A 12,509-nucleotide genomic window follows, 5' to 3' on the forward strand; every position below is an offset into this window, starting at 1 on the left:
ATAACTGAAAGTAGCTAAGGCACCCCAGCCGGAGGAAGTGAGCTCTCCTGGTGAGTTGGGGGTCGTTTCGCCCACCCTAGTAAATATAAAGAGCTCTTTAATCCAGCCAGCTTACTAGTGGGGGTGGGGATGCCCTGCTTTCAGCAAACCGACCTTTACATTTATCTCTGATTTGTTCTAATAGGGGCGTGGTTGTTCGTGATCCTTGCATCTGTTACTTAGGGTCAAGGCTTGGGTCTTGCCCCGCAGACCCTTGGGACGACCCGGCCCCAGCGCAGCTATGAACCTGGAGCGAGTGTCCAATGAGGAGAAATTGAACCTGTGCCGGAAGTACTACCTGGGTAAGGCAGATCGCTAGGGTCCCAGGAGAAGAGAGGGGACTGGACTAGAGCACCCGAGGGAAGAGGGCCTCGGGGCCTGGATTCTTAAGTCTAAGAGATGAAGGACCTGCGAACGCCGACTCCTGGATTTGAGTGGGGAGGGCCTGGGTCCTGAGGAATGAGGAAGCTGGGGCCTCAATTTCTGGATCCCAAGAGAGGAGGGGGATTGAGGGCCTGGACTCTTGGGTCCTGTGAAAGAGATGGTTGAGGAATCAGATTCCTGGATCCCAAAGAGGAGCCAGATTCCTGAGTCCCTGACAACAGAAATCTCCATTTGAACTTGGGTGTGGGAGAGTTTCTTCCAAATAGATCTCGGTGGGAGTTGGAGAAGATCTTCATTGCCTTATGAGGTTTTGGGGTTTGTTTGTTTGTTTTTCTTTCTCCCTAGGGGGGTTTGCTTTCCTGCCTTTTCTCTGGTTGGTCAACATCTTCTGGTTCTTCCGAGAGGCCTTCCTTGTCCCAGCCTACACAGAACAGAGCCAAATCAAAGGCTGTGAGTCTAGAGCACAGAGGAGGGAGGCCAGTGGCAGGGGAGAGGGGGAAGCGGGGAATCTTGGTGGGAAGGGACAATGGAGGATCCAAAATGTTGGGGCTCTGGGTGAGAAGGGAAGGCTGGTCTAGGGAAGTCTGGAGAGCAGCCGGAGGCCAACCCTTCCAGCTTCTGTTTCCCATGACAGATGTCTGGCGCTCAGCTGTGGGCTTCCTCTTCTGGGTGATAGTGCTCACCTCCTGGATCACCATCTTCCAGATCTACCGGCCCCGCTGGGGTGCCCTTGGGGACTACCTCTCCTTCACCATACCCCTGGGCACCCCCTGACAACTTCTGCACATACTGGGGCCCTGCTTATTCTCCCAGGACAGGCTCCTTAAAGCAGAGGAGCCTGTCCTGGGAGCCCCTTCTCAAACTCCTAAGACTTGTTTTCATGTCCCACGTTCTCTGCTGACATCCCCCAATAAAGGACCCTAACTTTCGATACTGACTTCCTGGGATCTTTTAGAGGTTGAGGCATAAATGATTATTAATATTTAAAAACATCTGTTGAGAGCTTTGTACGAGGCTTAGTATTTAGACATGATGTACATTTTTTACAGTGCATACTACTCATAATCTTCTGAACTAGGAACTTTCCTGCTCAGGAAACTATTAGATGAGAAACTAAGAAAGGAATAGTGCTTCCATTTCTTTTTCTTTTTTCTTTTTTTTTTTTTTTTTTGAGACAGAGTCTTGCTCTGTCAGCCAGGCTGGAGTGCAGTGGTAGGATCGGCCTAGTGCTTCCATTTCTAGGGGCTGTTATCCTGTACTGGTAGTCGTGAATTCAAAAATATAACTTTCCTACTGTGGGCTGCAGTATTCTCATCAGAAGTGTAGATCACGATGCTACTTCCTGGGATTTATCTGGACCAAGACGTGTGACAAATGGAAGTTTCCCGTTTTCTGAAGGAAGTGTTGTCTGCAAAAATAAAAATAGTCAAGAGCTTTCTCAGAGAATCCTTCCTTGACCATCCATCTTATTTAAAATTCAATCACCACCTTGATATTCCTATGTCCCTTTCAGGCTACACTTTTTTTGTGGGTTTTTTTTTTGGGGGGGGAGAGGGGTTTGTTGTTGTTGTCTGTTTGTTTTTCTAGATGGAGTCTTGCTCTGTCACCCAGGCTGGAGTGCAGAGGTCCGATCTCGGCTCACTGCAACCTCCGCCTCCCGGGTTCAAGCGATTCTCCTGCCTCAAACTCTCGAATAGCTGGGATTACAGGCGCATGCCACCATGCCCGGCTAATTTTTGTATTTTTAGTAAAGACTGGGTTTCACCATGTTGGCCAGGCTGGTCTCGAACTCCTGGTCACAGGTGATCTGCCTGCCTAGGCCTCCCAAAGAGCTGGGATTTACAGGCGTGAGCCACCATGCCCCGCCCAGATCATATTCTTTCTCCTATTACATTTCACTTAAAATTTACTTGTTTACTGTTTATCTTCCCTCCTTTAAAAGATAAGCTCCATTAGCGCAGGGATTTTTGTCTATTCTGTTCCTCAAGGTGTCTCCAATGCCTAGAAGAGTGCCCGACACACTAATAAATATTTGCAAAATGAATGAAGTTGTACCTGCAAAGAGATTAACAGATACCTGGCACCTAGCGAGTGCTCAGTGAGAGGGAACCCAACGTTATTTTACATTAGTCTTCCTCTTAGGGATGAAGGGACCCCAACGGTTGGTTAAATCCGGTAAAGAGCTAACTTGGTGTTGCTCAACCCTTCTCACACTACAAGTCCCGGGAAGCCTCGCGATGCCCTAATCCTTTGTTTCCCACCGTGCCCCGCGCGGCGCAGGCGCTGTTACTCAGGGTGAGTCTGGGAAGCTGGAACTACACCTCCCAGGAAGCTAGGGGGTAGATGGTTTGTTTCCGGAAGCAAAGCCCCAGGTGGGTGGGACCTAAAGCTGGGAGACTACGGAGGCAGCTCTCAATTGGTCAGGATGCGAGATTGACGGCTGCAATAACTAATAGGAACAAGCTACTGCCGAAGGGGCCCGCCCACAGAAGGGTGGTGGCCACGGTCCAGGCTGGACACAACCAAAGGCGGAGGACCCGTGGCCCACGAAGCTCATCTTTGAACTGTCCCCGCCTTCTCCCGCCTTGACTTGTGACCCTAGGCCCTTTGGGGCGCCTCTGACCCAGCTAGCCAGATCCCGGACCCAAACCATGTTCCCTGTGAAGGTGAAAGTGGAGAAATCAGGTGAGGACCCTGACGTCGGGGGCCTGTCGGGACCATCGGGTTGACAGGGTGTGGAGTCCCGGTGGAAGGGAGTATCGCGGAAAGGGGACTGCACGACTTTTCCCTGAAGCCCACCTGACAATCGCTGTATCAGGCAGCGAGCGTTGCCTGCCACCTTCACACCCTCCCGGTGTGCGCTTGAAGTCGCTTTGAGATTGAATGGGGTGGCTCGGGCAATGACGTGCGTGGTAGGACATGGGGAATCCTGAGCCGGTAACTCTGAGAAGGGCCCTTTTCTTTCCTCTTTTTTTTAATTTAAATTTTTAAAATATTTAAATAGAGACGGAGTATCGCTATATTGCCCAGGCTGGTCTCGAACTCCTGGTCTCAAGCGATCCTCCCGCCTTAGCCTCCCAAAGTGCTGAGATTACAGGCGTGAGTCCCCGCGCCCAGCCGAGAAGTTCTCTTTTCTTGGCTTCCCCTCAGTTTCCCCATTTCCAGCAGTGATCAGAGTCACACATCTTGCTGTGAGCCTGAAGTACAGGCACTCTTAATCCTCACAGTCACTATATTCCAGTAATCCTAGAAAATAGGAACTGTGGTCAATGGGTGAAGCTTAGAAAGAGGAGAGAATTTTGGGTTGGGGCGGAGCTGACCGGATCCCAGGCCTGGCATGGTAAGGGCAGTGGGAGGGGTGCAGAATTTAGACAGAAAGATAATAGTAAAATGATGTAGGATGTCCCATGGCAAAAGTGTTATTAAAACAAAGTGGGAGGCTGGGTGCGGTGGCTCACACCTGTAATCCCAACACTTTGGGAGGCCGAGGCTGGCAGATCACTTGAGGTCAGGAGTTTGAGACCAGCCTGGGCAACATAGCGAAACGCTGTCTCTATAAAAAATACAAAAAAAAAAAAAAAATTAGCCAGGTGTGGTGGCACAAGCCTGTAGTCCCAGCTACTCAGGAGGCTGAGGCAGGAGGATCGCTGGAGCCGGGGAGGCGGAGGTTGCAGTGAGCTGAGATCACACCACTGCACTCCAGCCTGGGTGATAGATTGAGACCCTGTCTCAAAAAAAAAAAAAAAGAAAGGAAAAGAAAAGAAAGAAAGAAAAGAGAAGTGGGTGTGACCACAAATGATGGTGAGGGAAGGTGTACACCTGTGAGTGCCAGGCTGAGGAGTGCAGACTCCACCCCTGGGTGCTGTGGAGTCATGGAAGTTTCCAAGCAAGGGAAGATCAGGGTCAGGTTTGTTATTTTTCAGGAAGATTCCCCTGGCTGCCTTGTGGAGGGTGTATCAGAAGGGGGACACTGAGGCAGGGAGCCAAGGGGGAGCAAAGGACAGGACCAGGATGGGTAGAGTAGGGAGGAGGTGGGTGGGAGAGACACTCGGGAGGCCTAGTGGACAGGCCATGGGGTTGGTGGGCTGGGTAGGGGAGGGAGAGGGGTATCCATGGTGAGGTACAGGGAGGGACTTGGGGACAGTGAGGCGACCCTTGAGAGGGAGGCTTCAGGCCCAAGTCGGGGGTTCAGGAGAGAGGCTGGGCCTGAGGAGAGTTGTGGACGTGATCCGTACCCTCTGCATCTGCCCAAGGCTTTGCTGCAATCTCAGCTACTCCCTTCCCCACCCTCACTCTGTCTCTCCTCTGAGCTATGTTTGAATCCCTGTGTCTCCTGGGCTTCTCAGGAAGTCCCTGGACTGGTCAGGCAAGTTCCCAGGTGTCCCCTCCAGGCTCTGAGCACTAGAGCCAGAGCTCCCACCAGTCAGAAAGGCAGAGCAAACACCTCTCAAAGGTAGGAGGACAGCGTAACATCATCACTTCCTCAAGTTCTGTGATGACGGGAGGCAGCCACAGGCTAACTGGGCAGGAAGGTGGGCCTAGATCTCATTTCCCGAGGGGGAAAAAAAAGCCCAAACAGGATGTTTTAGGTGAAATCTCCCAATTTTGGCTGGGTGCGGTGGCTTCTGCCTGTAATCCAGCACTTTGGGAGGCTGAGGCAGGTGGATCATGAGGTCAGGAGTTTGAGATCAGCCTGGTCAATATGGTGAAACCCTGTCTGTACTAAAAATAGAAAAAATTAGTTGACCATGGTGGCACGCGCCTGTAGTCCCAGTTCTTTGGGAGGCTGAGGCAGGAGAATCACTTGTACTCAGGAGGCAGAGGTTGCAGTGAGCCGAGATCACGCCACTGCACTCCAGCCTGGGAGACAGAGCAAGACTCCGTCTCAAAAAAAAGAAAAGAAAGAAATCTCCCAATTTTTAAATGTCAGCTCATTCAGATTGAATTCAGATTTAAAATTATACCACTGTTGGCCGGGCATGGTGGCTCACGCCTGTAAGCACTTTGGGAGCCTGAGGCCAGCAGATCACTGAGGTCAGGAGTTTGAGACCAGCCTGGTCAACGTGGTAAGACCCCATCTCTACTAAAAATACAAAAATTAGCCAGGCGTGGTGGCGGGCGCCTGTAATCCCAGCTATTTGGGAGGCTGAGGCAGGAGAATCACTTGAACCTGGGAGGTGGAGGTTGCAGTGAGCCAAGATTATGCCACTGCATTCCAGCCTGGGTGACAGAGCAAGACTCCGTCTCACAAAACAGAAATACATTAATTAATTAAAATAAAATTATACCACTGCCTCAACCAGATTCTGCACTCAGGTTGAGCCTCTGTCTCATAACTTCAGCTTTGGAACCAGACAGCCTGGGTTCAAATCATCAGCTCTGCAATTTCTTTGCTGTGTGCCTTTGAGCACGTGGCCTAACATCTCTGTGCCTCAGTTTCATCATCTTTAAAATAGGAATAAAAATCATATCTATCTGAGCTGGGCTCTATGGCATGTGCCTATAGCCCCAGCTACTTGGGAGGCTGAGACAGCAGGACCGCTTGAGCCCAGGAGTTCAAAACCGGACAACATCGTGATATCCTTTTTCAAGAAAAAAAAAAATCACATCTACCTCTAAGGGTTATTGTGATAATTCAGTGGGTTATTATTTGTAATATATAGCATATTTAAACCTTGCCACTGGGACAGGCACAGTGGCTCACACCTGTAATCCCAGCACTTTGGGAAGCCGAGATGGCTCACCTGAATCTAGGAGTTCAAGACCAGCTTGGTCAATATCATTAAGACTCCATCTCTATACAATTTTTTTGTAATAAATTTATATTATATTAAAACACATTTTTTTAAAACCCAAAAGGCTCATAAGGTAAGGTGATTGGCCTTACCTCCTGTCACAGAGCAATCACGTGGGACAGCTCTGGAACTCAGAGCTCTGGGCATCACTCCAGCCATCTCTGCCTGTTGCACCCTTTCAGGCTGCCTGGGCCTGGCTCTGAGATTGGCCAGGGCAGAGGACACGCACGCCCTTCCCTGGCCCAGTCAGCTGCCCACCTAGCTGGGGCCTGGGAGCTGACTCCTGCTGGGTCCTCTCTTGCCCCAGAGCTGGAGATGGCCAAAGCCCGGAACCAACTGGATGCTGTCTTGCAGTGTCTGCTGGAGAAGAGTCACATGGACAGGTAGGCCAGCGTGGGGTCACAGGGCCGGGCACCCTGGTGGGTTGGGCCCTCTGATCCTGGGTGGATTGGGTGGGACCCCACAGGCTGACTTGGGGAGGAAGGTGCTTAATGGGGAGGCTGCTCGGTGCCTTCCTTCTCTGGGGCCCTGGAACCCTGAGCTGAGAGATCTCTTCTGCCTCTAGGGAGCGTCTGGATGAGGAAGCTGGGAAAACACCCTCAGACACCCACAATAAGTGAGTTTTTCTGATTGGATTTGGAGTTGAGAGTTCGTGGTTGGTAACTTCTTTCCTTATCCAAGCCCTGACCGCTCAGCCCAGCGCTACCTCCATCGTGGCCCGGACCACTCCACCTGTACAAAGACCCTGTGGCAGGAGAAGCTTAGGTCCCCCCGTGGTTGCCACCTAGACCCCCATGGGTATGGGTGGGACAAAAGGCCCAAGAGGCAAGTGGGGTTCATGTGAGCATCTCAGGTTTGATACCAGTATCCCCAGGGTGCCCTCTGCAGGGTTTTGCACAGGCGTTTGTCTGAGGGTCAACTGTCTTTCCCCACAGGGACTGCTCCATCGCAGCCACTGGCAAAAGGTAAGGTGGCAGGGTCCCAGCCAGCTGACTAGAGGCTCCCAGCTCCTACCCCAGTCCTGACACTCCCTCTCCCTACGCAGGCCATCTGCCCGCTTCCCCCACCAGCGGAGGAAGAAGAGGAGGGAGATGGATGATGGGCTGGCTGAGGGAGGGCCGCAGCGATCCAGTGAGTAGACAGTGGCCCTAGAGGGTCGGTAAGGAGCCAAGGGCCTATGCAAGGATGCTCACACACCTCCCATCCCCACCTTCCCAGACACATATGTGATCAAGCTGTTCGACCGGAGCGTGGACTTGGCCCAGTTCAGCGAGAACACGCCACTGTACCCAATCTGCCGCGCCTGGATGCGCAACAGCCCCTCTGTGCGCGAGCGTGAATGCTCTCCCAGCTCACCCCTGCCCCCGCTGCCTGAGGATGAGGAGGTGGGATGGGTAGTGGGTCCCAGCCCAGCAGCCTGGTGCCAGGGCAGTGGGTGGATAGGCTCAAAGGATCCTGCCCCTAAGCTAGTGGGATAGACAGACACAGGTCCCTCACGTGAATCCTGGATCAGGCTAGGCACACAGATGTGCACTCTTAGGTTGGGGTGTGGATCAGAGTCCCTAGGGAAGACATACGTAACCACCTGGCCTGGGAGACAGGGAACAGGGTTACCCTGGACAGTTAGATGTGGACCTCCAAGATCAGGGGTTCCCAAGAGCCGAGGGGCTAGACAAGGGTCCTTAGTACAGACAGAAGTGGCCACCAGGCCTTGAGGAGCAGGGGCTGGGCAGGAATGGATGGGAGTCTATAAGCCATCTGACCCAGCGGGGTAGACAAGGGTCCCCAGGACAGACATATAGGACCCTTCAGACATATAGGACTGTCAGAAATGGACAGAGCTTCCTAGGTGGCACAGACGTGACCCCCTAGACAGGATTCCCTGAGGCAGGCAGACGCGACTCCCTGGGCTGACAGGTGTAGATGGAGTCTCTGGGCTGGATAGGAGAAGACAGGGGTCCCTGGGGCAGGCACACTTGACCCGCTGGCTGGTTGAGGTGTCTGCCCTTCATACATGCCTCCTGTCTGAGTCCCTTAGCGAGCCCCTCATGCCATTTGTTGCTGGGAAAGGCAGGAGGGATGAATGTGGATTCCCAGCCCCTCTGCTTTGACTCTCTTGGGCCTGGCATGGGGCCCTTGTGTCCCCAGGGCTCAGAGGTAACCAACAGCAAGAGTCGTGATGTGTACAAGCTGCCGCCACCCACACCCCCGGGGCCACCCGGAGATGCCTGCAGATCCCGCATCCCATCTCCACTGCAGCCTGAGATGCAGGGCACCCCTGACGATGAGGTGAGTATGCCAGGCTGGCCCAGGGTTATGGGGCACATGCGGTAGGGCTCAGGAATGGCCACTCAACCTGGCCTGTCTGTCCATGCAGCCCTCTGAGCCCGAGCCCTCACCCTCCACACTCATCTATCGCAACATGCAGCGCTGGAAACGCATCCGCCAGAGGTGAGCGTCCCCCAGCCTGCTTGCCCCTCGTAGGGCCCTTTGCAACTGCTGAGTCTCCCCTCTGCCTCCCCAGGTGGAAGGAGGCCTCTCATCGGAACCAGCTTCGTTACTCAGAAAGCATGAAGATCCTACGAGAGATGTACGAACGACAGTGATGTTCCCAGGTCCCCCCACACCAGTAAACATCCCCCAGCTCCACACTGGTGTCTGCTCCGGTCCCTCCTTCCTGGCCCAGGCACAAAGCAGTTGGCAGAGCTCTAGCACATTTATTGGGAGAGTAAGCCTGGGAAAGACTAAGGGAGTGGTGGCAGGGAGAAAGGCTGTGGGGAATCAGAGCGGGTGCTCAGTTGGGTCTTGAAGGAGAAGAGGAGGAGGGTGGGAGGTGGGTTGCCGAGGATATCTGGTTGAAGACTTGGGGGTCAAGACAAAGGGACTTAGGGGGATGGGGTCTGGTTAGAGTTGGGGAGGGGGCCTAGGACATCCGTGCAGAGTCTGGGGAGGTTGGGGTGGGAGAGTCTGTACAGTTTGGTGTTGGGTGTTCTAGTTGGCCTGGTGTCCAAGAGTTGGGGCAGTCGAAAAAGGGTTCCAGAGTCTGGTGTGGCTGGCTGGGGTTTCACGGCAGAAAATGGGCTGGAGGGGGCAGTTGTAGACTGTCTGGTTGCAGGGGAAGGATCGGGTCTTGGGAACCAGGCCTGGATGGTCTGGAGTGGGAGGTCTGTGCAGTCCAGGACGTTTGGGGGGTGGGGGGATTGTGCCTGACTGGCCTGGGGTTGGGGGAGGGCTGTCTACACCATAATTTGGTGTCAAAATAGGGAAGGGATGGAAATGTAGTACCCGGATGTCTTTGTAGAGGACTCAGAAGGAAGTAGAGGAGGGGTCTTAAGTGGGGCTATATGCCAAGAAAGTGGGTCGGTGGGGCTGAGACTGTCGGCTGAGGGTTAGGGTAGTGCTGGTAGGGTCTGGAAGCCGGGGAGTTGTCGGTGTGGGGTCGGAAAGCTGGAGGGGGTGTGAGAGCGAGGGTGTCAGTGGAAGGGTCTATGTTATCAAGGCAGTGTCCAGGATGGAGGTCAGGGCAGAATCCAGGAGTGGGTGAGAGGACAGTCCTTGGCGCACTCGGGACATCTGGCTGGGCGGAGTCAGATCGGCTTTAATAGAGGGAGCCTGAGGAGGCTCCCGGGGTGCGGGCGCGGCCCAGCCCCCTCCTACTTGGCTGCGGCTGGCGGTGGGGCCTGGGCCGACGCTGGTGCGGCCTGGATGGACAGGACGCCCTCGGGGGACAGCGCGGACGTCACGGCAGCCGGATCCACGCCAGGCGGCAGGCGGTAGCGACGGTGGAACTCGCGCGCGACGAATCCGTGCTCATCCTGGAGGGGAGGGAGGCTTGAGCGGCCCCGCCCCTCCGGCCCGGCGGCGAGCGTACCCGCTCCAGCCCCGCCCCACGCCGCGGCTCACCGGGCGCTCCTCGTGGCGCGCGTGCACCTCCACGTGTTCGCCCACCACCTTGACAGCAATTTCCTCCGGCGAGAAGTGCTTCACGTCTAGCAGCACCGAAAAGTGGCCGGGGTCCGTCGGCACCTGAGCGCAGCGGGCGCGGGCGGGACTGTCATTGGGCTGGGCCAGGCTCCAGGACCCACCCAGGGAGACCCCACCCCCGTCGGTTCCGTGCCGCGGCTCACTCTGGCCTCCGGAGTTGAGCAGTCAGCTCTCCTACTGGGAGTCACCCAGGACCTCTTCACCCTGAACAACAGGGATACGCCCTCCCCCTGTAATATCTGGGATTGCCCTCTCCCCCGCAGTGATGAGGCTCCCTTCCCCTGCAAGGTCAGGAACCTCTGCCCTCCCCCGGTGTCAGCGAATCCGAAGTCATCGTGCCCCCCAGGGCACTGATTCCCCAGCTCCCTCCTCAGAGCCCCGGGTCCCTTCTCCGCCAGCCCCGCCAAACTCGCCAAGATGCCCCTTTCCCCGTCTCCAGGGTCCTCTGCCTACTCTCCCACTCGAGTCACGGGACCTCGGCAGCTACTGGTAGCCTTCCCCCACTTCAGAGTGGCCGGGAACCCTTCCTCAAGTCGCAGGGCCCTCTCCCCTCCTCTTCTGGAGATATCGGGCCACCGCACACAGTCTCTCAACTCTTCCCCGAGACTAAGAACATTCCTTCCCCTCAGGAGTCACTGCCCGCCTCCTTTTCCCCAGATTTCCCGGATCACCAGCCTCCTTCAGAGTAAGCAAGACTCCCCTTAGAGTGACCCAGGCCTTCCATTCTCTGGAGAGCTGAGAGCCCCCCACCCCGCCCCCCACCTAAGAGCGACGGGGACCTCCCACCCGCTGCAGTGTGCGGGCCTCAGATTCCCATTGACTCCGGAAGCCCTTCGGAGCTGCGGACTCTCCACCCCGCCCAAGGCCAACGAACATTCTCTCACATGTTCCCACCCCAGGCTGCCCCAGACCCCTGGCAATGGAAGTGGTCGAGTTCACCCCTCCCCAGGCCTGGCACCTGGGCGACGGGCAGCGCCACGCTGGGTGCGCGCAGGTAGTAGGGGGCGAGCGTGGTGGGGCAGAGCGCAGCCAGCTCGGCCTCCAGCAGCCCCTCGCCGAAGCGCTGGTCAAAGAGGCGTCCGGGCGCCGAAAGTCCGGGCAACGGGGCCGAGGCGCGGCGCAGCCAAGACGGCTGCACAGGCACAGGGATCTCCATCCTGCTCCTCCGCGTTGCAGTGCCCCTGCGTGCGCAGCCGCTCATTTATAGTGCGCCCTGTGCCGGCCCCTCGGAGGGCTGCCCAGGGACACTGGGACCGTGGCCAGACCCGGCCATTAGGAGAGCCTTATTTAGAAACCCAAACAATGACTTGGCCATTTATTAAGCGCCTGCTGGATGCCTGGCAAATGCTGTCAAGAAGGTGACATGAAGATTCCCCAATTTCCAGAAGAGGAAACTAAGGCTGAGGAGGGGGAGCCTTGCGGGTGTGGGGAGCACAGCGTGGTGATTGGGGCCCAGGACCCAAGAGGCCCACGGAAGAGTTTCCAGTCCCTTTAATCCACTGCCTCCCCCCTGGCAGCTCTGAGGATGACGCAGATGGAGGTCTTTAGGAGCAGATTCCTGGAGAATGCGGTAGCCCCGCCAGGATGTCAGGAGGACATAGAACAGGCCCTCCCTACCCTTATCCTCAGCCAGACCTTGGGCCCAGTCCCCCGGCAGGCCGGGCCTAATTCTGTGCCTCTGACTCAGCCTCTGGTGCGCAGAGGCCAGGGGGCGCGAGCATGAACAGTTCAGGCTGGCCCCCCGGGGGCCGCGCGCTGGGGCTGGAAATAGCTCATTTTGATCCCGCTACCTCGGCCAGGAGCCCAGACCTGGCAACTGATGCAACCAGCTGCTCCTGCAGCAAGAAAGAAGTTAGATGACCGTTGGGACGGACTGATTGGCCCAACTGATGGAGGAATAGCGGTTAGAGAGAGGGCAGAGCGCGCCCCCCCCCCAACCCGCCCCACTGCCCCTGCAACAGAAAGAATGGTAGTTAGACCGGGGTCGGGACAGGACTTCTGCAGCAAGAAGGCGCTTAAAAAGCGGGACTTTTAAGCGAGGGTACTTTAGATCACCTCCTAACCGCAAGCCCAGCCTCAGATCCTTCCCATTGGTGCACGGTCTTGCCAATTACTGCTACACTCGGCAGGTTCTCCAATCAAACACGCCCTGTCGGGCAGGCAGTCGTCCCAGCCAATCCTGAAACACCTCCCTCCGGGTACTTCTGTTTCCTCTCTTTCATTGGTCGCCTTGGAGGCCGCTCGCCTCCGGCGCGGGCACAGAGAGGGGCGGGGCTGATAGGGCGTTGCTAAGCGACGGAGATGCGC

General features: G+C 55.8%; 3 protein-coding genes across 6 annotated transcripts, besides 5 other annotated features; 2 read left to right on the forward strand and 1 right to left on the reverse strand.

The window, feature by feature from the left end:
- Positions 1-1,869, forward strand: PSENEN (presenilin enhancer, gamma-secretase subunit). 2 transcript variants are annotated; one of them, NM_172341.4, is made up of 4 exons: positions 1-50; positions 185-341; positions 769-873; positions 1,058-1,869. In NM_172341.4, exons 2-4 carry the CDS (start codon positions 281-283, stop codon positions 1,195-1,197), a joined length of 306 nt encoding a protein of 101 aa, NP_758844.1. In that variant the 5' UTR covers positions 1-50; positions 185-280; the 3' UTR covers positions 1,198-1,869. The 2 variants fall into 2 exon arrangements, with proteins under 2 accessions (NP_758844.1, NP_001268461.1); NM_001281532.3 differs by having other exon boundaries at positions 223-341.
- Positions 2,180-2,694: an enhancer, noted in NCBI's record as "OCT4-NANOG-H3K27ac-H3K4me1 hESC enhancer chr19:36238731-36239245 (GRCh37/hg19 assembly coordinates)". NCBI's record gives its function as "activates a minimal SCP1, AML or CMV promoter by ChIP-STARR-seq in primed H9 embryonic stem cells {active_cell/tissue: H9 hESC(primed)}" and the evidence as "EXISTENCE:reporter gene assay evidence [ECO:0000049][PMID:30033119]".
- Positions 2,596-2,655: an enhancer, noted in NCBI's record as "active region_14498". NCBI's record gives its function as "activates an Ori minimal core promoter by ATAC-STARR-seq in GM12878 lymphoblastoid cells {active_cell/tissue: GM12878}" and the evidence as "EXISTENCE:reporter gene assay evidence [ECO:0000049][PMID:35858748]".
- Positions 2,695-3,209: an enhancer, noted in NCBI's record as "OCT4-NANOG-H3K27ac-H3K4me1 hESC enhancer chr19:36239246-36239760 (GRCh37/hg19 assembly coordinates)". NCBI's record gives its function as "activates a minimal SCP1, AML or CMV promoter by ChIP-STARR-seq in naive and primed H9 embryonic stem cells {active_cell/tissue: H9 hESC(naive and primed)}" and the evidence as "EXISTENCE:reporter gene assay evidence [ECO:0000049][PMID:30033119]".
- Positions 2,926-8,869, forward strand: LIN37 (lin-37 DREAM MuvB core complex component). Of its 3 annotated transcripts, none has more exons than NM_019104.3 (9): positions 2,926-3,108; positions 6,526-6,601; positions 6,784-6,834; positions 7,154-7,183; positions 7,264-7,349; positions 7,437-7,603; positions 8,367-8,507; positions 8,596-8,669; positions 8,743-8,869. In NM_019104.3, exons 1-9 carry the CDS (start codon positions 3,075-3,077, stop codon positions 8,822-8,824), a joined length of 741 nt encoding a protein of 246 aa, NP_061977.1. In that variant the 5' UTR covers positions 2,926-3,074; the 3' UTR covers positions 8,825-8,869. The 3 variants fall into 3 exon arrangements, 2 of the variants coding, with proteins under 2 accessions (NP_061977.1, NP_001356709.1); NM_001369780.1 differs by lacking the exon at positions 2,926-3,108 and adding an exon at positions 3,164-3,360; NR_163146.1 differs by lacking the exon at positions 7,437-7,603.
- Positions 3,056-3,175: an enhancer, noted in NCBI's record as "active region_14499". NCBI's record gives its function as "activates an Ori minimal core promoter by ATAC-STARR-seq in GM12878 lymphoblastoid cells {active_cell/tissue: GM12878}" and the evidence as "EXISTENCE:reporter gene assay evidence [ECO:0000049][PMID:35858748]".
- HSPB6 (heat shock protein family B (small) member 6) lies at positions 8,916-11,379 on the reverse strand. Its single transcript, NM_144617.3, has 3 exons — positions 11,161-11,379; positions 10,122-10,244; positions 8,916-10,033 (listed from the first exon to the last, which is right to left on the reverse strand). Exons 1-3 carry the CDS (start codon positions 11,356-11,358, stop codon positions 9,872-9,874), a joined length of 483 nt encoding a protein of 160 aa, NP_653218.1. The 5' UTR covers positions 11,359-11,379; the 3' UTR covers positions 8,916-9,871.
- Positions 11,631-12,202: an enhancer, noted in NCBI's record as "NANOG-H3K27ac-H3K4me1 hESC enhancer chr19:36248182-36248753 (GRCh37/hg19 assembly coordinates)". NCBI's record gives its function as "activates a minimal SCP1, AML or CMV promoter by ChIP-STARR-seq in primed H9 embryonic stem cells {active_cell/tissue: H9 hESC(primed)}" and the evidence as "EXISTENCE:reporter gene assay evidence [ECO:0000049][PMID:30033119]".

Source organism: Homo sapiens, chromosome 19, assembly GCF_000001405.40.
Source record: "Homo sapiens chromosome 19, GRCh38.p14 Primary Assembly".
In the NCBI taxonomy this organism is placed as follows: domain Eukaryota; kingdom Metazoa; phylum Chordata; class Mammalia; order Primates; family Hominidae; genus Homo; species Homo sapiens.

Coding starts and splice junctions, on each gene's coding strand:
- HSPB6 (NM_144617.3), bottom strand. CDS start 11,358: ATGGAGATCCCTGTGCCTGTGCAGCCGTCTTGGCTGCGCCGCGCCTCG. Junction 10,245..11,160: donor TGGCGCTGCCCGTCGCCCAG/GTGCCAGGCCTG, acceptor CGCTGCGCTCAG/GTGCCGACGGACCCCGGCCA. Junction 10,034..10,121: donor CGCGCCACGAGGAGCGCCCG/GTGAGCCGCGGC, acceptor CCTCCCCTCCAG/GATGAGCACGGATTCGTCGC.
- LIN37 (NM_019104.3), top strand. CDS start 3,075: ATGTTCCCTGTGAAGGTGAAAGTGGAGAAATCAG. Junction 3,109..6,525: donor GGTGAAAGTGGAGAAATCAG/GTGAGGACCCTG, acceptor CTCTTGCCCCAG/AGCTGGAGATGGCCAAAGCC. Junction 6,835..7,153: donor CCCTCAGACACCCACAATAA/GTGAGTTTTTCT, acceptor CTTTCCCCACAG/GGACTGCTCCATCGCAGCCA.
- PSENEN (NM_172341.4), top strand. CDS start 281: ATGAACCTGGAGCGAGTGTCCAATGAGGAGAAATTGAACCTGTGCCGG. Junction 342..768: donor GTGCCGGAAGTACTACCTGG/GTAAGGCAGATC, acceptor CTTTCTCCCTAG/GGGGGTTTGCTTTCCTGCCT. Junction 874..1,057: donor ACAGAGCCAAATCAAAGGCT/GTGAGTCTAGAG, acceptor TTCCCATGACAG/ATGTCTGGCGCTCAGCTGTG.